General features: G+C 36.9%; 1 protein-coding gene across 2 annotated transcripts in view, besides 1 other annotated feature; it reads right to left on the bottom strand.

Moving 5' to 3' along the window:
• The window catches only part of IL1RAPL1 (interleukin 1 receptor accessory protein like 1), a 1,369,273-nt gene that overhangs the window by 712,760 nt on the left and 629,263 nt on the right, over nucleotides 1-27,250 (bottom strand). The window lies entirely within an intron of this gene.
• Nucleotides 17,657-18,530: an enhancer, noted in NCBI's record as "OCT4-NANOG hESC enhancer chrX:29243546-29244419 (GRCh37/hg19 assembly coordinates)". NCBI's record gives its function as "activates a minimal SCP1, AML or CMV promoter by ChIP-STARR-seq in naive and primed H9 embryonic stem cells {active_cell/tissue: H9 hESC(naive and primed)}" and the evidence as "EXISTENCE:reporter gene assay evidence [ECO:0000049][PMID:30033119]".

The raw sequence follows: 27,250 nt of genomic DNA, 5'->3' as shown, positions 1-27,250 counted from the left end.
AGAGGAAGTAGAGCACAAGAGAAGAGGGGAGGGAAACTCTTTCACAATTCAAGACCCTTTAGAGGTAGAGATGCAATCCTTCTCTTCCTATGAGTGTCACTCAAAAGGCATAAAGAGCTGAAATTATATCATTATTTGGTGAAACCCCTGGTGAAACTCAGTACAGTCCCTAAATGAGTGACTGAATTAAGGAAGGCTCCAGATCCTAGGTAGAGTGGATCTTCAGAGGTAGATGAGAGAAAAGATGTTAGAAAAATGAGAGATAAAATAGAAAAGCAGCAGGAAAGAGAAAAAGTAATCATTACTTTTGAAGTTAGAATCACAAGTTTAGAAAGTTGTGTAGCTTCGTTTCCATTCATTCCATCTGTTCTAAGAATGTAGGTGTTGGTTAAGGTATGGGAAAGTTGGTCCCGCCACAGGAGAACAAGAGAAAGTGATTTGAGAGGATGACATTTCTTATTCTCACAGGTCCCAGAGAGAGGGTGACAGTATGCCATGCAGGGCCACAACACGGCACAACCCATGAGTGCTTGACCTAATAGGTGATGAGCAGAGAGAGCATGAGGACTTGTGATTGGTGCCAGTGAATTTCACCGGGCAATTTGAAAGCAAACCAAGCAAGGTGGGTGGCTGCGGAGCCAGATGCCAGCGGTTGGGTTTATTTTCAAGGGGTTTCAGCTGGTTTTGAATGTGGACTCAAAATTAGGACAATGAGAAGGATGTTGAAGCATCAAAGCATGAACGCAAAATGAAGGGTTCTTAACATATTCCAAATACGCTTTGCAATACTCTGCTCTTAAATTTCACTGGTGGGCAAAGCCTAAACAGAAAGACTGGAGATGAACTCCAGGATTTCTCCTCTTTACCATATATGGGGAGATAATAAACCCCCCGGGGAACATGTAAGATCTGTGCAAAAAGAAGCCACAATGGATTCTGGCCATGCATTCAGCAATAAGCCTCCCAGCTGGGCCTGGAGAGGGGCCTCACGTGTTCTTTTGATAGGATTGGGTTTTCTAATTTAAAGCAGAGTAGTTGAAATAAAATGAGGTTGTTATTCACACAGACCTAGATTTGAATACCAACTCTGTCACTTCCTTTGTAAGTATGGGTAAGTTGCTTACCTATTCACGTCTGTTTCATCATTTCTAAAATGGAAAAATATGACTTGGCTTAATGACTGGGGTGAAAATTATGAGATAATATATGCAAGGTGCCTAGCAAAAAGGCTGGCCCATATTAAATACGTACTATCTAAGAACTGTTGTTATTAATGCTATTCGTTATACTTTGAATTATACCATTTTATCACGCATACTAGCATTATCAATTACATTATCCTTGGTAGCCTTTATAACACCTGGTAAATCCCTGTACATATAATAGATGCTTAATCACTACATGTTGAATGAATGAGCCTCAAGTTATAAAATGTTATATATCTAAAGATCCATACAATTAAGTGGCTCATCTCATATGACTGTAATCATAATTGAGGTCCAACCTGGTAGTTTGATTTTTCTTGTAGCATTTAAGTTCAGAGGCATTATAGCACAATTGGGAACACTGGATTTACAGCCAAAGTGTCTAAGTTCAAATGTCATCTTTAAATGGGGCATGGGCGCCCCTCCTGTAAAGTAGGAGTGTACGTAGAATTATTTCACAGAATTCTTGGGATGATTAGATGAGTTAATAAAACTATATTGAGTAAAACACCTACAAGACTGTTTAGCACATACAAAGCATCAATTAAGTACTATTATTAAAATTAGTGACTGATGTTAATATTGTCAACAGTTAACAGAAAAAAATCCTTTTTCATACTGTATGTAATCATATGCAATTCAAGTAGGAACAGTTGAACCTTGCTTGTGGGAAAGAGTAAATACAGCCTCAGCTCTGACTCTGTAACTAACCGGCTTCTTGACCTTGAGTGAATCATGAAGACTCTCTGTTTGCAGGTCTGCATCAGTTAAATGTGGGTGTTGGGTAGACTGTGTCTCTGGGCCATCTTGTCCCTACTGCAATAGCATTCTCTGACTTTTACTGCACCTTGTGGGATCGTTTATCTTCCCCTGGGAGTGCAGTTTCAGTTCTACAAAAGCAGTTGGGGAAAAAAAATGTTATATAGAGAACTACACTTTGCTGTCAATTTTCTAGTATCAAGTCTATTCCATATACAATAAGGCAGAACTATAGTAAAACATCCTGATGCTATTTCTTTTTAAGGCCCCTTCATATTTACCATTTCCATTGGAATTGAACTCAGAAAACAGTAAAGTAGCAAGGAGATGTGCATAAAAGCCCTTTTTAGCTCTCAGCGATTGAGTAAGCTTTCTGTTTCCAACAATTGTGGTAGCAAGATTTTTGTCATATCACATCTCCCTGCTGTATTTCCTTTTTTTTGCTCACATCCCCTCTTTTTTCCAGGAGCCACCACAGATGATGTTAGGCATGTGGTGGCCATGTAAAACTGGGATTATAACATCACAGAAGCTGTGCATGATCCAGGACTTCAGCGATAATTCCTCTTAAACTCATTTTTAAATGAGAGAAATGAGGCAAAAAGCTATCCTTTAACTTGTTTAAAAGGATGCAATAATTAGAGACAGAGCCAGGACCAGAAACCAAGTTTCTGGTATCCCAACTCACCATTTTTATCACTGTATCATGGTGCCTTTGTGTGAAGAACTGCTTACTCAGTTCAGCCCGAAAGGGAGTTACCAAAATCCATTTCTTTCATTCACTATATAGTATATTTGCCTTAAGAACATGGTCCTGTATTGTATGACTCTATTAGTTTCAGTTTGCAGAGGAATCATCCAAACTATTGCAACTCTTAACCCCAAAATGTAAAATGTTCCTGTACTGCACATAAAGTTTCACGGACACTATAAATTCTGGATGAGAGCGATCGAGAGCTTGCTCATAATCCCTGAAATTTTGGAATTTAGAATTGACCTGAAGAAAATAGTACCATTTGACAGAATATTTAAAAAATAATTGTTTTCTTCACTTGTCAAGGAAACATTAGCAATGGTTAGTGGCTCACAGGAAAATGTTTGGAGACGTTAGCAATTTTTTGCCTTTACTCTTTTTAAAATCTGGAGTATCATTCTGGAATGTGCTTCATGTATTAGTGTCACAAACCATTACTTTTGGTTGAGAAAAATTCCATGATCTTATCATCAAATTCCATAAATCATATATGCAGTTGGAAAAAAAGCAGTTGGACAAAAACAATTGTTTTTACAAACAATTTGTAGGCCTCAAATGGATTCAAAGTACACAGTATATAATCAGGTTGATTTCCTTTCATTTTACAGGTAAAAACCTACTGCCAAAGTTGAAAATTAAGATGTCCATAATCTAAAATAGTGATGCTTGCTTCCATGTGCAAACCTAGGTATAAATATATTTATAAGGCCGGGCGAGGTGGCTCACGCCTGTAATCCCAGCACTTTGGGAGGCCGAGAAGGGCGGATCACCTGAGGCCAGGAGTTCAAGACCAGCCTGGCCAACATGATGAAACCCCGTCTCTACTAAAAATACAAAAATTAGCCGGGTGAGGTGGCGTGCGCCTATAATCCCAGCTACTAGGGAGGCTGAGGCAGGAAAATCGCTTGAACCTGGGAGACAGAGGTTGCAGTGAGCGGAGATCATGCCGCTGCACTCCAGCCTGGACGACTGAGTGAGACTCTGCCTCAAAAAAAAAAAAAAAAAAAAAAAAAAAATATATATATATATATATATATATATATATGTGTGTGTGTGTACCTATATACTACTATGTGGTAGGCAGAAGAATGCCTCCCCCAACAAAAAGATCCATGTCCTAATCCCCAGAACCTGTGAATATTTTAGGCTACATAGTAAAGGGGGCAATAAGCTTGCAGATGGAATTACTGTTGTTAATCAACTGACCTTAAAGGAAGACTAGCCTAGATTATCCAGGTGGATCCAATTTAATAATAACCATCCTTAAGTGGAAGAAGGAAGCAGAAGAGTCAGAGAGGTAGATATGGCTACTGAAGAAGGATGAGAAAAATGCAATGTTACTGACTTTAAAGATTGAAGAAAGGTGCCATAAGTCATGGGAATGTGGTAAGCCTCTAGAACATGGGTGTCCAATCTTTTGGCTTCCCCTGGCCACATTAGAAGAAGAAGAATTGTCTTGGGCCACACATAAAATACACTAACACTAATGATAGCTGATGAGCTAAAAAAAATTGCAAAAAAAAAAAAATCTCACAATGTTTTAAGAAAGTTTACAAATTTGTGTTGAGCCTCATTCAAAGCCATCCTGGGCTGCATGCAGCCCGCAGGCCACGTGTTGGACAAACTTGCTCTAGAAGTTGGAAAAGGCAAAGGAAACTGATTCTCTCCTAGAGCCTCCAGAATGAAATACAGTCCTGCTGAGACCTTGATCAGTATGACCTGTGTCAGTATGATAATAACATTATGTTGTTTTAAGCCACTAAGCCTTTGGTAATTTACAACTGCAGCAATAAAAATCTAATGCACACTACTTATTTTTAACTTGCCATTTGATTAACTGGAAATTGAATGTGGTATGATATTCAAAAAGATCTCCATTTAAAAAATATCATATTTTTAAAAATAATGTAATTTAGTTGTAACAGTTTTCTATCACATAAGAAAGCAGTACTTAAAGCAAGGAAGACATGTATTGCACTTTTTGCAACAAAGATTAGACTACCCAAGATAAATTCCACATAGATTAGTATTGAGTGAGTCAGACTATAAATTTTAACACAGACCATGGAGAAAAATGTTTTATTATCAATATTTTCATTTTTTTTAGATTGGAAGGCATATATGGTATCTAAAAGTTATTTTTAAAGGTTGTCATCTTTTTAAAGAAAGCTTTTTAAAATCTAGAGAAATATGAAAAAGATAATTTAAAATCATATTTCTTGAAATCCTCTTTCAGTGATAATTTGCAAAACTAATTCAGTAGAGATTAAGAGATCATTGATAAGGAAAAGAGGTGATTATCCATTTCTTTGTTTTGTTTTGAAAATAAAGTTCTAGGCCATATTCCAATAAAACTCTACCTCTAAAGACAGCCACATCGGCCTCTGACATCTCTAACATTTTATTCATGTCCACAACTACCTTCTACAATTGACAGTGTACCTGAAACAGATCCAGTGCTTACTACAGGTAACTTTAGGTTTGTGATAAACAATTGTAAGTCACTGAATATATAACTAAAATAATATTTCTGTCCTCCCAAACATAATGGATGACCAAATTGGGTCTTGGTGATCTCTACTGGCTAGAAAGAAATTGAGGCAAGTTAGAAGCAAAGGAGCCATGTGAGGGGCTGCTGTTATGTTGGATGAGAGAGTGATTCCCAGATTCAGATGTAATCGAGTAAACAGTAAAGCAAGAATGAGATTAGAAATGGCATATGAGATTGAGGGAAAGCAATGTCACATGATGACAAAAATGTATCAATGTGACTCTAGGTAACAGGTATATGGAGCCAGAATTATAATAATCAATAGGTAATACAGGAAGAACAAATAAGAAGTCTGGATAATATGATTAAAGATGTTGAAAACATTGTAGCTAACTAAAACCATCAACCAAAATCGTCCACTCTCATTTCTTAAACATTCACTGCATGGTGTAACAATTCCAGGTGATATTTAGATAGCCAGATAATCTACCTTCTCCCACATATGAGGAAACACTTAACAGAGAGGAAAGAAAGGCTATTTATAAACTCTGTCCTCATCATTCAGCTTGAGAATAACAGAAGCAGGTGTGTAGGTCTTTCTCAATAGTCATGAGCAATAGAGATCTACCATACCGAGAAAACACAGCTTGCTGACAAATCCGGTGCACTGTGCATTTGCACTCTTTTCCATTCTCAACAATAGGGAAGGCGCCACATCACAGCGATTGACTTCATTCAGCTGTTCTCATTTCGTTTCCTCCACAGTCTCCCCATAAATTTCTATTGTGCCAACACGCAGATAATTGATTACATTCTTTTTTAGTTTGTCTTTGAAACTTGCAATCAAATTATTTTATGCAATTAAAAAAGCATGATTATTTTTTCTTTCATAATACCTCTCCTTACACCTCTCCTCCTCCCACACTCTTGTCATCCCCTGCCCTACCTCCTTCAGAGTTCCTCCTCTGCTAGTTTTGAATGTCATACACTTAATGTGTGTACTCTATTGAAGCAGCATTGCCCAGTGGCAGTCAGACACATTTGTTTCACAATTACTAACAACCATAAAACATGAAGTCAGAGGTAATGTCTGTAAAGACACGTTACTAAGCAAAGTAGTAGTATTCAGGGCCCTTAATATGCAAACACTACGGGCATCAAATAAGAACCTACCTTAAGTGGGTGACATGCAATTCAAACACATGGAATATACATTAATAAAAACTACTTATCGATGTGTACATTGCGAGGATCTGCCATGTGCAAAGCATACAGTGATGCACACTGTTTTATAACTGCAATACACACTGGGGTCCCATGTTGACATATCAAGGTATATTCACATGAAGGCTTACAGCATTTCATAGCTAAGGGCACTAACTATGCTTGCAGCTGTTTAATGATTGGGTGCGGTATCTAATTAACGTTGTTTTCCCATTAGCAGAGCCTAGAGTATCTACAAACTTAAATGCAAGATGAATGAGTACTTGCAAGATTGGCAGGACTCTATCTGGTAGGGCTACTGATGGCTTATTAAATAAGCAGCAATTCTAATTAGGTTATGTTCGTTTTGACAGTTTCTGCAAACTGACATTTCCATTTGCTTAGTTTCTTGGAACAACCCATCATGCAGATATATTACTTGTTGAAACCTCATAAAAACCCTGTTTTTCTCTGGGCTGTGAGCATGAATTTGTAATGAACTTGGCTCTAGGTGAAAGGCAAGTTCTCACCCATTACTGCAAGGAATGGTTTGATTTTACTGAAGGCCAATTTAACAATACCAGTGCAACACAGATGTCCTCATTACTAATATGGGATATATAAGGTATTGCAGTTGTGACCTTGAAATGGAAAAATATTAAGAAGAAGAAGGAATGGGGCCAGGTGCGGTGGCTCATGCCTGTAATCCCAGCACTTTGGGAGGCCAAGGTGGGCAGATCATGAGGTCAGGAGATCGAGACCATCCTGGCTAACACGGTGAAACCCCCGTCTCTACTAAAAATACAAAAAAAAAAAAAAATTAGCCAGGCGTGGTGGGCGCCTGTAGTCCCAGCTACTGGGGAGGCTGAGGCAGGAGAATGCAGGAGAATGGTGTGAACCCAGGAGGCGGAGCTTGCAGTGAGCAGAGATCGCACCACTGTACTCCAGCCTGGGTGACAGAGCAAGACTCCATCTCAAAAAAAAAAAAAAAAAAAAAAAAAGAAAAAAAAAGAAAAAGAAAGGAAAAAAAAAAAAAGAGAAGGAATAGAAGAATACAGCCTAAGACGGCTTGATATTTGCTGCTTACACCTACAGTTTATCTTTTTAGGTGGAAGTCAGTGATGGCTAGCACAAAGTATAGCCAGTCAACGCTAACCAGAAGAGAGCTCAATTTTCTCGCTAAAGATCTCACAGCATGGTCGGTCAGTCCCCCAATCCAACGTAAGTGTGACTTTAGTAACATTAATCACATCCTCATTCAATAAGGTCATAAAGAAGTTATTCACTTTTAAGTCTGTGAACTGAAGTAGTGTTTGAATATCTTTAAACAGGGACAAATATAATTTTATTTCAATTAAGACTTCTGATTACTTTTCCACGAAGTATTAGTATGTCTCCATGCAGAAGCATGATTTATTAGACTATAGCAACCCAAACAGTGGAGAAATTAGGAAGTCAACTGTATTCTCTATAAAATTGTTGACAAATGATTTGACCGATATTTCCATTGATGTGTGTGCTTGTTTGATGCTGCTTAAACACATCAATAGAGTACAGAAATCTTGCTTCTCGACATTATGTTCAATGAGGCATCAGGGCTGATTCATCAATTGACTTTCAAATGGAATCTGATGAAAAAGTGGCTGGCTGTGGCACAGATTCAGCCATACCTCCGGGAGAAAAGAGTGCACCAGTTTTAACATCAACATCAGTTCATTAACTCAAAGGCTGCCTAGCACATGTACTTCCTTATGCTATAGCATTTGGGATACTTTAACTAAATGGGTGATGTAAGAATCACTATATTTGCCTTTTTATGAATTGCTTTTATGATCTGTTCAATGCAAGAAACAAGACTCATTTGATGAAATTTTGCAAGTTGTTTTTTTAAAATCAGTTTTCCAATGTCAGTGTTTCTTACATAATTTGTTAACTCTCACCATTAAAACACACACATACCCTCACACAAATGACACAGGAATAGTGCTTGTTACATATGTAACAACCATGGAAGGTTTTTATATACTTACTTCTACCTTTTTTTTAAAGAATGAATTTAAGGTAACTTACCTAAATATAGCAGGAAAACATAAATTAGAAATTTGTAACGAGAAAAAAGGAAATACACAGAGACAGGGAACAAGGTCTGAACTAGAGTCAGTACAGATTGTCTCAACTAGAAGCTAATTCAAAGAGAAAAGCCTGGTCAGATAAAAACAATAACAACCGTTGATTGTTCAGTACCAACACAACTATTTCTAATATTAAGAAAAGTTTTCCATGGGTCTTCATAATGTTATGAAAGACGTCCATTATATTGTTCCTGCAGTAAGTGACCTCAGTGGCCAATATTTGGTTATTGTTCAATGTGACTGACTAATGCAGGGATCGACTCAATACAAACTCGAGAACTATGTATTCAAATTAGCCCCATTACTCAGATAACCAAACTGAGACCGGGAAGAAACTTGCTCAAGGTCATTTAGCAGGGGATGCGTAGAAGTGGACACTTTAAAAGTATCCATGCATCTCACTCTCCATCATGCTGCAAAGGCAGGAAACACAAGGGTGCCAGCTTCATAAGGCTGGAGGACAGGAAGGAAAGGTATATAGTAAAGGGCCTTAAATGTTATAATCATAAATAATACTTGTTGATCTATTGCATAGGCCAGGCACTGTGAAAATATGTTAAATGCATTGTCTTATTTAATATTCAATACAGTCTTGAGTGGTAAAAGTTATTCATGTTTTATAAATTGGAAAACCGAAGCTTAGTAAAGTCATACATCTTCCAAGAGATCACAAAGCTAGGAAATATTAGAGCTGAAATCTAAACCCAAGGTTTTACTCTAGAACCTGTATGCTGAAGCATTTTATTATATACCTTCCCTCTTCTTGTATCTGGAGGATGTCTCTGTAGGCAAGGGACCAGCAAAGGTTTTGATGTATGTGTAGGAGGACAGATGATATTTATTCATTGAGTCCATCAGTCAATATTTATAGCATGCATAAATGTTAGCGTTCTTCTAGAGATACAGCTTTGAACAAAACTCTATCTATAACCCTATCTCATGGAGGTTACATTATAGTCTGTTTATAAGGGAGATTACTTTGGCTGTCTTATGTAGGATAAGGAAGATGACTTTGGCTGTGTTATGTAGGATTTCATGGAGACGGATGAGCTAAGAGAGCTTCATTTGAAGGTTACTGCACTGATCCAAAGCAAAAGATAATGAGGACATTTATTGTTATTTATTGCTGCATAACAAATAACCACAAATTTAGTGGCTTACTTTATAAATATGTGCAACCATTATATATCCATAAAAATTAAAAATTAAAAAATAGTGCTTAAAACAACCTGAATTTATTATTTCACAGTTTTTGTGGGTCAGGAGTCCAAGTGCGGTTTAACTGGGTCCCCTGCTCCGAGTCTCACGAAGCAGTATTGAGGTGCCAGCCACGCTGCATTTATTTATGGAGCTTGGGTGCTCTTCCAAGCTCATGTGGTTGTTGGCAGCATTCATTTCCTTGTGGTTATAGATCTCTGTTCCTGCTAGTTGTCAGACAAGAGCCACTCTTTGCTCCTAGAGGCCACTTGAAATTCATGGCCACATGGCCCTCTCATGGGCCCGCTTACAACATGGCTGCTTACTTTGTCAAGGAGTACTTCATTCCTAGCAGGAGAATTTATCTCTTCAGGAAGAGCCCAGTTCCTAGTTTAGGGGCTTTCACCTGATAAAGTCAGGCCCACCCAGAATAATCTTCCTTTGATTAGCTCAAAATCAACTGATTTGCAGCCTAAATTATATACACAAAATTATCTTCCATTTTGCTGTATAACGTAACCTAGTCGGGGGTGTGGTATCCATCCTATTCATAGTCTCATACACACTCAAGGGAAGGGGATTTTACTGGGTGTGTACAACAGGGAGGCAAGAAACTCTGAGGGTCTTATTTTTGGCTCCCTGCTTACCACAGGACCTGACCTCATAATCCTCATTTTGCAAAGTATCCTGATGAATGATGCCAGATAGGTTTTAGAGGTAGAACCAACAGGAAACTGGGGGAAGGAGATAAGAAAAAAAGAAAGATTAAATAAGACTATAATCTTTTATTCTTAAGAAAATTAAAGGTAAGCCCCTTTAACTGAAATACACAATACAAAAACAGTGCAAAGATAACTAATTTGATTTGGGCCATGTTGAGGTGCCAGAAGAATATCAGGAAGTGATGTCCAGCAGGATCCTGGAGAAGAGAAGAAAAGATGTAGCGCTGGGGGAAGAAAACCTGGAAGTTACTTGAATAGCAGAGTCAGGTATAAATAGATGAGATTTCTAGGAGCTTGAGTACAGGGGAAGGAGGGATGACCCAGCATAAGAATGTTAAGTTGTGATAGAGTATCTTCAATTTAATTTAAAATATCAAACTTTTAAAATGCTTCTTTCGGCCAGGCACGGTGGCTCACACCTGTAATTTCAGCACTTTGGGAGGCCAAGGCCAGTGGATCACTTGAGGTCAGGAGTTCAAGACCAGCCTGGCCAACATGGTGAAACCCTGTCTCTGTTAAAAATATAAAAATTAGCTGGGTGCGGTGGCGGGTGCCTGTAACCCCAGCTCCAAGGGAGGCCGAGACAGGAGAATCACTTGAACCCAGGAGGTGGAGGTTGCAGTGAGCCAAGATTGGGCCACTGCATTCCAGCCTGGGCGACAGAGCAAGACACTTGCCTCAAAAAAAATAAAAAAGTAAAAAAAAATAAAAATAAAATGCTTCTTTTGACAATACACTTAAAATGTGGGCCTGGAAAAGTTAGTATCTTGGGTATCTTGCTCTCCTACAATCTTTTTTCTTCTCTCTAGGTATAACAGACAAACACTGTTGCTCAAATGTGTAACTCACCTTTATTACATTATAAAAGAAACATGTTAGGCAATCAGGAGGATGCTCGTCTGAGAGATGACTGTCAGATGATTGTAAATGTAAGTAGCATGATGTTGATTTTTGGCAATGCCCTAATCTGCCCAAGGCATTTGTTACGAACTGTTAAAAACTTCCAGAGTATATAAAAAATAGTAATGTATCTAGACTATAATTCTTTCACGCTATTTCTGCATTCTCTAATTGCATAAACTACTATTTAAGTCCTGAAATCTCTTTTACATTCAAATCCAAGGAACATATAGTAGGCATTAAAAAATATGTTTTAGTTACTAGCCTATATTTATGTCCCTAAAAATATAATGTGTGTTTTATTTTACGGTAAAATCATGTCTTATCATCTCTGTATCCATGTTTCATTTAAAGGAGTAGAACTACTTAAAAGTACAGACTCATTTATAAAATAAGAAATTATTTTTTTAAAACAAAAAGAACAAAAACAAAATTCACTAACATTTAATATATATTTAATGTAATATATTCAGAGTATATATCTACACTTAATTTCATTTATATTTAAATCTGTAATCTGATAAAACCATAAAGCCGACATTAAGACAAGATGCAACAGGCCTATATCCTTATCCACTAGATGGCTCTCTTATAATTCTAACTCATTATCTTGTTGTTCTAAGGAAAACTAAGAATTCACTCAAAGTATACTATGCCCAATCTTATCATTTGCTATGAATGCCATCCATAGCAACACCATTGAACCAAATGGAGAAAAACTCGAACTTTATGGCAAATCAGAAGTATGGCTTGTGAACCTTTATTGTTTAGCAGAGTTAGAAAATGACAGCTTTGCATGGTATACAGCAGTATTTCTAAACATGAGATCAGTAGATTCACACTGGGGGAGTCACCTACTGACTAACAATGTGTAGTTTGGGTTTCCATCTCACATCTCCCGAATCAGAATCACCTGGGGTAGGCGTAAACTAGGACTCTGTATAGTTACCAACTTTATGCACAAAGTTTGAGAATGCAGACCATGTCCAATGTCAATTAAGAAGAAACCCAGGGGAAGTATTATCCTGAAATGAATGCAAATTTCAATGTAAAGTTAGATAAGCCACCTACAGAAACAACCTCAAAGATTAAAGGAAAGAGATGTAAGAACAACCAACAGACACCACAAGGCTTTGTTGTAAATAAAACCAATTTTATGGTTTCACTCAGTCGTTAATTTGCCAAAATGTTCAACCTAAAACCAATATACAAGCTTCAGCGAACTCAGCGGGGTGGGTGCTTTTTATCAGAACCGGTTGCAAACTGCTGAGCAATATGGGATAAAAGCATTTGCACGGCTATAGTCTCACCCACAGAGATGATGTTTCTCATTTTGAAGGTCAGGCCATACATCACTGGCCCAATGTCAGAAAACATGCATCACCTCCACCTACACTGTGCCAGGTCAGTAAGAATATAAACAAAAGCAACTGCACAGAGCAGCCACCCTCTCAATAGCTCCATCCTCCTCAACCATCCTATCTGCAAACATGAAGCCAAAGAGAAGAATCCAGGTAGTGAAATTCAAGTCTGTTGCTTAAGACCAGAAATCCTAATATCTTGTAGCAGCAGATTCTGTTTTTTTCTGATGAATACAGGACAGACTTAACTTATAATACTGGATTACTTACAACAGCTCTCTTAAAAATGTCCCTGGGGCTTTGCCTATGTCTATTTCAGACTACCATGAGTTAGAGGCTCTCAGAGACTCCTGCTACCAGAGGTCTCACATATACGCTACAGGGCCCTCATCACAGAAAGTTCAAATTCCAGCTTCAGTCACATGTATTGCCTGTGGGGGATCACTAATAAAATAGGTGGTTGAAGAATGACCTGACCTAGTTGTAGGTCACTTCTTATTAACAATTTATTATGAATCACTTCATCAAATTAACTTGTGGTCATTTCATGGTTTTAGAAAGAAACTTTGGTAGGCCTAGAGATCCAGGAGAGAATGGGATGTGGGCTTTCAAGTTTTCAGTAGTATAAACGATTGTAGGAAGGGATGGGGAGATGAAATAGGCTGACAAAAAGCGCTGGTTGCCTGAGAGACAACAAGGTTTTTTTTTTTTTTTTTTTTTTTTTTTTTTTGGTAAAGGGACCATAATGATAGAGCATCTACAGGGGTCACAATAAAGTGAGTGGACTTGGGCAAAGGTTTTGATACTGTGGGGAGCAGACGCCTGAGAATGCTGAAACCACATCACCTAATTAACAGTACTCATTTTTCTACAGAATTCAAAATAAACTTTCAAACAATATGAAGCTTCAGTATGCCCTAAAGCTCCTAATTTAATACTTCTATATAATACAGTCAACTCCAAATCCTTTTGCACATATTTTCTTGTTTTTAACAGCTGGCTTCATCCCATTTCTTTAATACAGACTTACAGTGTATAGACATGCTTTGAAATCCATAAATGAGGCTGTCTTTATTTGAAATGAAGGCCTATCCTCTCAAAGACATTATAGCCAATAACTTCACAACAAATCAATCTCATGCAGACTAACTAGGTGAGTTATATGTCCATTATAAATTTCTTGTGATGGGTTGAGTCATTTAGCACGAAGGCTAAAAGGCTTAGAGCAACAATACAATGTTATATTCAATGCCACGTCAGCCAGTGGCCATGGATGCTCAGTAAATAGCAGTGTGCTGTGACTGATCATGTATCACACAGTTTGCAAGTACTGAAGATATAATAAGCTAAGTCAAGAAACAAAGGGAGTTTGGATTGTTTTTCTTACATTAACATGAAATACCCCAGATCACTTTAATATATATTCTGAAAGCATAAGAAAGGGTGGCTAATTAAAAAATATATATTTGATAATTCAGAACATCTTCCTTAACAAGCAGAGCTGTTTTGTGCTGAGAAATTTATGCTGGCATTGCATGCGAGGCATAAACTTTCATGACAGCAGGCAGTGTGAACGGAACCAATCTGATTGAGAAACAGATCCAGAAATATCCAAAGGAGAATTACATAGCCACCTTTCTCTCCACACCTTCCATGAGATGAACTTTCAAGTTTCCTGTACAAAAAAGGAAAGTTGCTTTTCTTCTTTCCATAAAGTGGTATAGCAACTTTAGTGGTAGAAATACATTTGAGATAGAATGAATTATTCAAAAGCTTAGACAAATCACAGGTACTATTTTTCAAGGTACACTTTAGAGAGTTTTTTTTTTTTAAAAATTATCATACAGAATGGGTTAAGACCAATAATTTCTTTTATGAAAATTCAAAATGTAATTTTCTGCAGAAAATTTAAGGCTAAAGCAGAGTTTCCAACACTTTTCAATTTTGGAAATTAGCATCATAAGAAGAGAACAAAGACTGACATTGGGTTTCTAATTTTTTGTTTCACCAAAACAAAAATACAAACAATGAAAGGGAAACGATGCCAATGAAACAGTAGGCTAACTGAAATATAATAAAGAACACTTCTTTAAAAGGAGAAATTTAATTTTATGAAAAAATGTATTGTATGTTGCTTATTTTTCTCATTCTGCCTCAAACTCATGCATGCCCTATCTTCCCTGGAACTTGTCCTTGGATGGGCCTTTAGAAACCCAGAGTTGAATATATGTAACCTCACAGCTCTTACTAAAGAAGCCAGTAATTGCAGCCCACCTCTACTGGCCACCACCCACGCACATCCAGAGTGGGCTGAGAAGTGCCTTGGAGCAGAGCAGGAAAGAAGTCCTTGAAATTTGGTGATCTTCAGGCAAGGCAACAAGGCAGATAGGGAATACGGATGATAGTGAAACAAAACAAATTGCATCACAAAAACACAGGCAGCAAAAGCCAGTCCACGGAAGACTACAGAACAAACTATTTAGCTTCCTCAACACATATACTGTTTAAATAAAAGAAAAAGATAAAGGAAGAAACCTATAGATTAAAAGAAACTTAATAGATTTTAAAAATTAGGCAAAACTGGCCAGGTGCGGTGGCTCACGCCTGTAATCCCAGCACTTTGGGAGGACGAGGCGGGTGGATCAGGAGGTCAGGAGTTTGAGACCAGCCTGGCTAACATGGTGAAACCGCATCTCTACTAAAAATACAAAAATTAGCCAGGTGTGGTGGCACGCATCTGTAATCCCAGCTACTCGGGAGGCTGAGGGAGGAGAATCGTTTGAACCCAGAAGGCGGAGGTTGCAGTGAGCAGAGATCGCATCACTGCACTCCAGCCTGGGTAACAGGGTGAGACTCTGTCTCACACACACACACACACACACACACACACACACACACACACTAGGCAAAACTAAACTACAGTGTTTAGGGATGCATATTTGAGTGACAAAACTATGAAGAAAAGTAAGGATGCCATTCCAAAAAATAAAATCATCATAATGGTCACAGTTGTGTGTGTGTGTGTGTGTGTGTGTGTGTGTGTGTGTGTGTGTGTGCACGCGTGTGTCCGGAGATGGTTATAAGAAGGCACGTGGAAAGTTTCTGGAATGGCTCGCAAGGTTCTAGCTTCTGACATCAAGGATAGTAATAAAGGCATTTGCCTTCATTAGTAATAAGAGTGTTCATTACCTGTAAATTTGTTTTGTAAATATTTTCAGTATTTGTATTATTATCTATAAAAATAAAATATATTTTTTAAGTGAAGAGTTTGGAGTCAGACAACCTGGTTTAAACCAAAACTCTGGCACTTACAATTTATGTAAAATGGGGATGCTGACGATCTCTATAGTACCCATTAAACAATGTAATCATGAAGATGAATAGATGTAAAGGTTATAGAAACTATTTCCAGATAGGAAATCCTTCATGGGTTTTAGCTATTATTATAGGAAATGGTTCTCTGTCTAGGAAGTAAGCAGTGGTAGATGCAAAGTGCTGCAAATGTATGAAGGACTTAGCAATATTCTGCACCATAATTTATTTTTTATTCATATTTCAAATTAAATTATTCATTCCAGAGAGTGCTTATTTTATGTCAAAAAAGTGATACAAGTTTACAATGAAAATCAATGGGAAATGGAATTCTGTTGATTATTACTTTGCATCCAAATTTATTGGAACTCATCCATTTCATTAACCAAGGCAGATCAAAGAAGTAGCTCTATGTGTTAAAAAGGAGACTGTCAAATTAAAAAGTCTTAGTCTGATTGAACCTCTCCTGATTGCAAATTAAAATATTAGGGATTTTTTGTTTGAATTCTTAAATTTAGATTAGGCTTTGAAAGGATTAAAAACTTCATTCATGAAAAGCTGGTCTTTAAAAACAATAACATTCAACAACTTTCCTTTTTAGCTTTTTTTTTTTGAAAAGGAGGCAAAGCTTTCTTAATACTACTAATTAATTATTATTCTTTAGTTTTAATTAATCATTGTGTTTTTTGACCTTTGGATTGTGTTACCATTATACACTGCTAGTTTTAGCAATTTTTAAAGCTCATTTTTTGGGTTCATTTCAGATCTATTTTCTATGCCAAATATGCTAATGATTGCATTTTAGAATGTTGATTATTCTAATAAAAACACTCTAAATTACCACATTAAATTTAATAGGATAAAAGCCAGTGTCCACGCAGGTGATTCAAATGTCTTGAAACTCCTATGACTAACATTAAAAAAAAAAAAATCTTCCATTCCTATGCAATTAGGAATATTAGTTTATAATAATGTTCTTTGGAGAATTCAATTTGTTTTAAGTCCCTGGAATGTTATTATTTTGTCTTTAATGATTTGCTACAGTTTTGGCATATCCATTCTATTTTAGCTCATTATTTGAGAACTTTATCAGGTAATAAGTATTTGTAGTATTAAATTGCATTTTTTGCACTGTCACTGACCAAAATTGATTACAGTTTTTTTTTCATCTGTTAAAAATGGACGAATCAGCCAGTACAGTGGCTCACGCCTGTAATCCCTGCACTTTGGGAGGCCGAGGCATGTGGATCGTCTGAGGTCAGGAGTTCAAGACCAGCCTGGCCAACGTGATGAAACCCCGTCTCTACTAAAAATACAAAAAAAATTAGCCAGATGTGGTGGCGGGCACTGTAATCCCAGCTACTCGGGAGGCTAAGGAAGGAAAATTGCTTGAACCCAGGAGGCGGAGGTTGCAGTGAGCCGAGATTGTGCCACTGCATTCCAAGAGCAAAACACCATTTCAAAAAAAAAAAAAAAAAGAAAGAAAGAAAAAAATGATGAAGCAACCTGTTTGCTAGGGGCTTAATGAGAATAATTAAAACAAAATACAACTGTGGAACATCATTATAACACTACTTTTCTCATAGTGAAATAAGTTAAACATCAAATGTGTCCTGAATTCTGGGACATAACTTATTCCAAATTTCATCTCATCAGGAGAGACTCAGATGTTCTGAGTAGGCCTCTAGAAGTATGAAAAGATATCATTCTATAAATATTGTACACAACAACTTTTATTATCCATCTAGACAGACAATGGTATTGACCATTTCAAATACACACTTCTATATACAGTACACTGTATAAGCTAGAAAATGCGTTAACATGAATCATCAATATGGAATCTTTCCTATCAGTGTAACAGTGCAGACCTGTGGTTTGCAGACCAATGGCATTGACACCACCTGGGAGTTTGTAGAAATACTGACTGACCACAATGGCCTTAATGGTCCCCCCCTCCCAACTTTAGACAAGCTTCTTTCTGACTATAGATAGGCCTATTACCTCCTTTTTTGTAGAGCGATTACTTTGGAAAATTTGCAATTGTAAATTCCTTCTCTGCCCCTTTCAGATGTAAACCTTCTACAACCTAGGAAATTCTTTCTCAAGGACCTGGGCGCCAATCCTTTGAAATGTAATCATCAAGAAAGATAGGGCCCTACTTCCCAGTCTCTATAGGAGTGTAGGAGCCTAACTTTGATAAGGTACCATTAGCAAACACAGGTGGCCTAATCATATTAACCAGCCCAATCACATTCTCCATCCTGCCTATGTCCTCCAGTACTTTTCCATTAGCTCACCCCAGCATTTAAAAATCCTTTCACCTTTTGCTTCAGTGGAAGAGTTGAGATGAAACTCTCTCCTATTACAACAGTCCTCAATAAAGTCTACTTTACCTGTTTAACCGATCTGTTCAATTTTTCTTTTACAAGACTCTCAGCCTCATGTCTGAATCCGAATTTGCAGTTTAACAAGATCCTCAGGTGTTTCCAGTGCCCAGTAAAGGTTGTGATGCACTGCTTTGGACAATAATATTGATCACTCTCTGCTGGTACTTAATAGTGCACAGGTCAAGATAAAACAGACTTGGAACGTGGAACATTACAATGTTAGATAAGCACGGATGTCTAACATGGAAATGTCAGATAAGCACCAGCTAGTTTAATGACATAATAATAAAAATATTCCTATTTCAATTATTTGAGTATTTCTTATTGTCTTTAAGTGCTCTTTCTGGGTATGTTCTAAAATACTCTGTGCTCCATTTGTCACTTACTGTTTTCAGTTGAAAAATTAAGTCAATGCTTTAAAGAAGACAAGCATGAAAGAATCTGTCCTGCCAGCAATGGAGAGCATAACACTAAGGATGCACCACTACAACTACACAACCTGTGTCTACTAGGTGCTGAAGTCACTGTGTTGGCTAACCACAAAGGAGGCAGAATCGATTTTGGTCATGCAGGCAACAATCACACCATTCTGATTTTCTGTGTGAGGGCATATGCAATGATTATTTTAAAATAAATCACATAGGGGTCTCTCATTTTCTCATAAAAAAGTTTTAACTTTAATATTCAGTCATTTTTATGTTGTTTAGCATATGATAACTTGCCTTTACAGTAGACTAAAAATGCTCTTTAGTTATAAATAAACAATAAAACTAAGACATTTAAAGTTCCCTAACAGCTCACATTTGTTCTATGACTAAGCCCAAAAAATGTCATAGCAGAATAATACTTTTTGAAATGTTACAAAAAAGTGAAAGTAAACATGATACAACTATATATTCAAATGTATTTTTTATATGATAGGCAAAATTTACCGCATTGAGGATGCTGTTGCCTGAGATGATGATGATGATTACTATTATTATAAAGGAATAGATAGAAAGAGAGAACAAGAGTCTTCATTATTCTTATCTGAATAAAAACTATACAAACAAGTGCAACCCAATACTCAAGCAACTTTTGTCTACTTTTGGAGAATTAGATCTTAAGCTATAAGATTTTGAGGGCCAGGACAAAAGTCATCTTTTTTTTTTTACTTTTCCATCACATAGCCAGTCTGAATGTTTGTACACATAGGCTAAAATAAATGCTTGGAGCCGGTAGTCAGAAAGTAAGTCTCTAAAATTTAAACCTAGTGACTTTGGAAATGTTAATACTGACAACATAGCATGAGTTTAAAGAGTACCACCTTACTAAATGCTAAAGGTGTTCTCAAAATTACCATCTGAAATTCTGTCCGTATCTCGGGGCTTTGTTTCATTTCAATTTAATTAGATGCATATTAATTTAGTCCCTACTGAATCAGTCTGGGAGGTTATCATTCTGAAACAAAACCTGTTCTAATGGTGTAAACATTTTACATGGAAAACAAGTGAACAATAATATGCAAGGTATTACAATATAGTCCTGAGGATCTTAACATTGTGTGTGCGTACAGGAGAGAGAGATGGACTCCTTTGGCATTTGGTGATTATGGATGCCTTTCTGGAATGTTTATATATGCACAAAATAAAACTTCATTGAATTATGATGAAAACCAGTTATATTGAAAGGCAATAATCAAAACATAATAGGCTGGGTGCAGTGGCTCACACTTGTAATCCCAGCGCTTTGGGAGGACGAGGCGGGTGGATCATGAGGTCAGGAGATCGAGACCAGCCTGACCAACATGATGAAACCCCATCTCTACTAAAAATACAAAAATTAGCCGGGTGCGGTGGCATGCACCTGTAACCCCACCTACTCAGGAGGCTAAGGCAGGAAAATCTCTTGAACCGGGGAGGCGGAAGTTGCAGTGAGCCGAGATCGCACCATTGCACTCCAGCCTGGGTGACAGAGTGAGACTCCATCTCAAAAAAAAAAAAAAAGTAATAAAATGAATTTGCAATATAGTAACATGTAATTCTTTATTGACACTTACATGACAGGAGATAGTGGCAGGCCTAATTTTGGAGTGACAATGAATGCAAATAATATCTGAGAAACCTACAAAAACCATAATATAATAAGAAAATATTTGTAACTTCAAGTGATAAAGTAACAGTTTCTTTCAATAGCCACTAATTAGTGTGGCTAGTATTTCCAAATGAAGCAAATACTAAATTTCAGTTAGACATAAATGAAAATAGACACACATATGTGTATGTGTGTGCATACACGTATTTTTCCTATAGAGTCCAAAGGGGCAAAATGATGAAAAACCTTGTAAGTCTTTTAAAGTATGCTGACATTACCTCAAGGGCAAAGAGAATGTACCATTTTTTTTTAAAACTTCAGGATACTTATCAACTTTACCTTTATGAAAGATCATTCTGGCTATAACATATAGAAAATATTACATTGAGTAGGGTTGGGCAGGTGTCTGAGTAGAGACAAGGAGAATAAACAAATTTTGGTGGAGAGTGATTTATATTGAGAATGAGAGATATGAAGAATGCTATCAGAGTTTCTGAATAGGGTAACAGGAGGGATGGTTTTATTTTATCTGTTTTGTGACCAGAAACCATAGGAGACAATCCGAGTCTTGTTTGGGAAGAGGTTGGAATACGACACATATAATGGATTTTCAGTCTAGGTCTAAAACTGCTACACTTTAAAAGATGCCAGCCCTGCATATGATGACCAAATATTATAAGACACCATCTTCACCGGGGCCTCCTCTCATTCAGGGCAAAATCCTTCCACCCCTGATAAGTTTTTGGTTCTTATCACAGCATCAGATTTCAGATATCATTGCAATATAGAAACAGACAATCTTTTTGAAGGACCCATTTCCGCTGTCTTAGTATCCCATCTCATTTTTTTGGCAACTCAAGTTAGGCAAGCATCTCTTGAAATGAATAAAATAAAAGAGAAATAATACTAACTACAATTTTCTGAACAACTCCTAAGTGCAAGGTAGTCAGTCATATGTCCTTATGTTCCAATAATTCATTGAACAAATATTGACCTAGCATTAAGTTCTAAACATTGTTCCAGAGGCTTGGGAGCAGGTAATAAAATAATCAAAACCCTCTCCCTTCAGGGAGCTTAGTTTTTAATCCTAACAAGAATCCTAGGAAGCTGGAAAAGTATCAAAATTTTATCAATGAAATTGCCAATATTTATAGAAGTTAGGCAGAAATGAGGTTTCAGCTAACGTTTGTGGCCTCACAATAAGTGTTAATTTTTGTGTTTGTGTGGCACATTCTTTCAAATATTCTTGATGGTGGCAAAGCTGAACGCTTTGAGGTGAATCCTCTATTGGAAACATGTCTAGTCTTCTTGCACCGGGGAAAAATGGTGCAATACATCTACACCAAATAGATGGGGACTATTTAAGACAGCTGCATTCCTTTGTTTGTGCTTATATTTGTTTGGTGAAATATATACATGTGCAGGTTTTTTTTTTTTTTTTTTTGACGGAATCTCGCTCTCTCACTCTGTCGCCCAGGTTGGAGTGCAATGGCAAGATCTTGGCTCACTGCAACCTCCGCCTCCTGGGTCAAGCGATTCTCCTGCCTCAGCCTCCTGAGTAGCTGGGATTACAGGCGCATGCCACCACGCCTGGCTTATTTTTGTACTTTTAGTAGAGATGGGATTTCACCATGTTGGTCAGGTTGGTTTCAAACTCCTGACCTCGTGATCCGCCCGCCTCGGCCTCCCAAAGTGCTGGCATTACGGGCGTGAGCCACTGCGCCTGGCCCATGTGAAGGTTTTATAAAGCATCTTGTAGTTCAGAGAGCTGGAGAAGTCTGTCATATGTGTGTGTGTGTGTGTGTGTGTGTGTGTGTGTGTGTGTGTGTGTGTGTGTGTATGTGTGTGTATACATTGCTCCTTTGGCATAATGACGGTAACATATGCAGTATATGATCCCTTGCTTTAGGAATTTTGGATTTTCAAGATAAATGTTCCTCCTACCTAATTTCAGCCATGTCTTATTTATGAGACCTTCACGGGGTATATAAAAATGCACTGTCAGTTGATTCGTTCTCCTGAGCATTAGTAGTTTTAGTCAGGTAGAGGTGAAATCACAAAAGACAGTGAAATACACTTCTATCTGATTTTGCCTTCATTCCATTGATCTTTGGAAGGTGTGTTTGGTCAGTTTCATCATAAAATTGCAGGTAAGCAATTTAATTTTTGTTAACTACATCATTGCATGATAGCTATGCAAGGAAAAATTCTAATAACATTGGATAAGTTTTCTGCCTTATTTTTTATAACTGAAATATATGAACCTTATTTTCATCTATGTTAACCAGTAGTTCTCAACTCAGGTTGCACAGCAGAAACAGATATACACTAAGGCCGGGTGTGGTGGCCCCATCTCTACTAAAAATACAAATATTAGCTGGGCGTGGTGGCGGGTGCCTGTAGTCCCAGCTACTCAGGAGGCCGAGGCAGTAGAATCGCTTGAACCCGGTAGGTGGAGGTTGCATTGAGCCAGGGAGCCAAGATTGCACCACTGCACTCTAGCCTGGGTGACAAAGTGAGACTACATCTTAAAAAGAAAAAAGGAAAAGAAAAGCAATACTAATGCCTAGCCATTACCTCAGACCAACTGATGCAGAATGTCTAGCAGTGGGACCCAGATATGAGTTTATTTTGAAATCTCCCTGAGTGACTGCAATGTGTAGCCAGAGTTGAGAAACCCTGATTTGTACACTGCATCTTACCTTTATTTTTCCTACACAGGATTTTAATTTACAGCTTTTTAAAAAGAAGAACATCAGAAGATCTATGTATTTGTTGTATTATGTTAGATTTTCTGCTCTTCCAATATTTACACAGCTGTTTAATACTCAGAATCATCTACCACATATTTCTACCACAATTAAACTGAGATCCGACATTTACGATTTTCACGTAACCACAATCAGTTCCCAATTCCCTTGTGCAACCAAGAGTAGCTCCCTCACTACAGCCACGTTTTACAGGTTCCAGATCAGAAAGTATTCAGCATTATTCAAAATTATAATCTAGCTATGCTATTTCTGTCGTTTACTCAATTTCAAGAACTTATCCTTTGGAAAATAAGGGCAAGATAAGAGTCTCCAAAAATGTACTAATGTTTCATGTAATTTTTCAAGCTATTTAGATATGTTAGACATGTAAATATCTTTTACTTCAAGAACATTTTTAATTGTGGTGAATTATTATGTCAAATTGAAATCTATAACATGAACAGCAAAATATATAAATTGGTCTAAAAAATACCTGTCTTTAAGATTCAATAGTATTTAATTTTCAACCAGGTGGGCAGTTGGTAAGGTGAGATTCAAACATGGTTTTCAATTAATTTAGTTGTTAAATTACACATAAATTATTAGGGAAACAAAAGCACGCTTAGCCCTAACTGTACCTTATCATTGATTTATTAACGGCCCAGAATTCCTCTCTCCCTATCATCTTAGTCACTATTACAAACTTTAACTTCTCCCACAGGACTCCTATTGCCAATTTTTCTTTTTTTTTTTTCTTTAAAGATTACTGCTGATTTCATTGAGTTAATGGTGGCCTTCGAGCTACAATGCTCTCAAGCTCTTTGACCCAGACCTAGAGGTGACTATAAGTAGATCTATGCTTTTGAATTGGAGAATGTTTCTGAAAGAGTAGCAGGAAGTAAGGCTGGAGTGATTGACTAAAGCCAGATCATGAAAGGTCTCATGATAAGATAATGAATTTGAACTTCATTTTGAAGAAATGGAGAAACTCTGATGGTTCTTATACAGGTGAGTGCTCTGATTAAATTTCAGATTTTAGAAAGACCACCCCAGCAGCAATTTGGAGGAAATATTTGGAGGAAGGTCAAACTGGAAGTGGCGAGATCTTTCAAGATGCAACAGTCCAGATAAGAAGGGATGTAATTCAAGTGAGACCTCTCCCCTCTCTACTAGTCAAAGGGTACTGGGCACAATCCTAGAACTCTGTGATGACTTTTAGCACAATTATCATACTGTACTATAATAATTTATCCTTCTCCTTCTCCTTCTTCATATTAGTAGCTCACTCCCTTGCTAAACCACAGTATCTCTAGATGACAGACCCATATCTTTTCCATTTTTATCCCCAGGTCCTAGCACAGGGCCTGGTACATTGTAAGTGTTTAAAAACACTTAGAGAATATTCACGTGAATACATAAATAAAGCAATAATTTTAATGACATTAATTTGTATAGTAGAATAAATACTTTATCTAGATTTGAGTCTTGGCTCACCCAATAACTACTTGGCAGACTTCTGACATTTCACTTATTTCCCAATTATCGATTAATCAAAGGGTATGGACTAAATTATTTATAATGTATGTTCTGACTCTAGTGAGTTATGCAACTGTTTCCATTTAAAATTTATCACACAACAGAAAATTATAAATTGTCAAAGTTTGGCTCAAAAGACCGCATTTCATATCATCAACTGATTGTCACTTTTGTCCATTTTAATAGGTTCAAAGTGATTTCGTGTCTTCTCAGAAATACTAGTTTTTACTCAAGTATGTGAGTTGACATGCAGATGCAGTGGCAAATCAATATTTCTTCCACATGAAATCCCAGATTGCTAAAATATGTACTTTTGTCATTAAGTGATTTATTTTTACGTGGCTAAATTGAGGGAATATTATAATTTTATAGTCTGATGCCATTAACATGACTACAAATGCTAAATCACAGCATTCCTTAATATGCTTCAATATTCTTTGCCTTCTTTGATATTAACTCTGTTTCTTGAATACAGATGAATAAACCAAGTTTTTAAAGTGAATCCATAGTTGTACATTATTGTTTTAATAATGAAACTTCTTGTCATCAGTATTTTAATAATGATCTTTATCTTTAGGTAGCAGTCAACAATTTTAGGTTTATATTTCTTGGTTTTTAATAATTAAGACCATAGACATAGGATATAGCAGCAGAACATAATTGCTCAACATCAGTTGCATTGTCACCCTAAAATAGTTATAACTCTGGGATGCTATAAATATTCCTCAACAAGATTTAATATAAAGACAGGGTAGCTTTCTTTTGTCGTGCTTTGGATATGTCTTACCTAGGAGATATGAGGAAATAGCTATTTAAAAAAATATTTTAGGCTTCCATGTTTCTCCATAGACTGAAGAAATAGCTAGCATGGTCATTTGTAAATGGTAACAAAGAGAGTGCACTGGTTAAGCCAAACATTACAAAATAAAAATTATACCGGATGTGTCCAGGTTGATATTTATATAAAAACTTATCATACCAAAGCAGTTTCATTGGACAATAGTTTCATGTATACTTCAGCATAATCCTGCACTATGAAGTAAATTATATATTTATTCTACATTGTCATGGCATTTTATTGGTAGAGGAAACAAATGAGATTTTTTTCTGTACAAAAAACAGCAAACATAACATTTTGATTGACTTTGTCTTTAAAGAATTATAACCAGAAAATTAATGAATAGTAAGTAATATCAATTACACAAAGTTTCAAAGCTACCTATAGGATATAAGGAAAAACAAATTTATTTTTTTAATCTCAGATTTTTCTTTCTTCTGTTTCCTTTGGTCTTTGCCACATCGGGCTTCAAGTTTATTTTACATCTCATTAACTGGCTTTTGTATAATACAAGTAAGTGTGTGTGTGTGTGTGTGTGTGTGTGTGTGTGTGTGTGTGAGAGAGAGAGAGAGAGAGAGAAAAAATGTATAAATTTTAATATAGATGATTTGTGTTTTCTAAGTTCAAGAGTTCAATCAGTAATTTCAATTTTCATGCAGTTTCTTAAAGTGCCACTTCAATATTTTTTCTTTAACTTATGTGTAATATTTCACTGCAAAGAAATCCATGGAAGGCAGATTATTTAAGATAAATACCTGGCAGCTACCTGGCAATGCACAAGGTGCCTCACCAAGATTATCATGTTTTAACTTCGCAAGAACAAAATAAGATAATAAAGACCAAAATACTAAACAATGACTAAATAAATAGCAAAATGGGAAGTTAAACTACAGTTGTTACAAAGACCATGATTCTTCTGCTGTAACAGCTATAACATTGTCTTCTGAGCATGGAACACACTACCTGGCAAATATTTGGTGTTTAACAATGGCTTTTTGAATTAGAATCTGCAAGGCATTTACTAGGAATCTAAGGCAGTGATTTTCAAACTGTGAGTTGTATCTATTATTGGGTCATGAAGTCAATTGATTTGGTCTAGACTAGCATTTTATCAAAGTGGAGTAAAATAAACAATTCAATCATGTATCACAGGTTTGTTGAAAAGGGCAGTCCATCATGGGCGATAAACAACCCTGCCTGTCCTTTTTAAGTGTGACAAATTCTAAGGCTTTATCATCCCTTGATACCATGGTACTGAGCAGTTTCTGTAGCTAGTCACGTAGGCAATTAATTAGGTAAAAGTGACCACAGCATGACTACCATAAGGCTTTTCTCTCCAGGGAAAGGAGACTGTCTTGTTAGTTGTTTACTACATGGTGAGACCTTGGCCCTGTATTCCCCAGCTGCAGCACAACCCACTGTGTGCATAGTCACCGTTTTGGCCTCTTGTGTCACCTCGTAATACTTGAGGCAGAGGAACTGGTACTACCATGCTACTGTTCCTGCTATTTGCTATATTGTGAATATTAAAGACTCATGCTCTAACCCATTGAATCTCATTGTCTACTTTGAGCACCTATGGAGTTGTGACAGGCCAACATTTTGCTTGCTTAGCCATCTCCTTTGA

The sequence above is a fragment of the Homo sapiens genome, chromosome X, assembly GCF_000001405.40.
Source record: "Homo sapiens chromosome X, GRCh38.p14 Primary Assembly".
Classification (NCBI taxonomy): domain Eukaryota; kingdom Metazoa; phylum Chordata; class Mammalia; order Primates; family Hominidae; genus Homo; species Homo sapiens.
The sequence above is the reverse complement of the archived record's forward strand: the minus strand, read 5'-3'. Positions and strand labels throughout refer to the sequence as shown.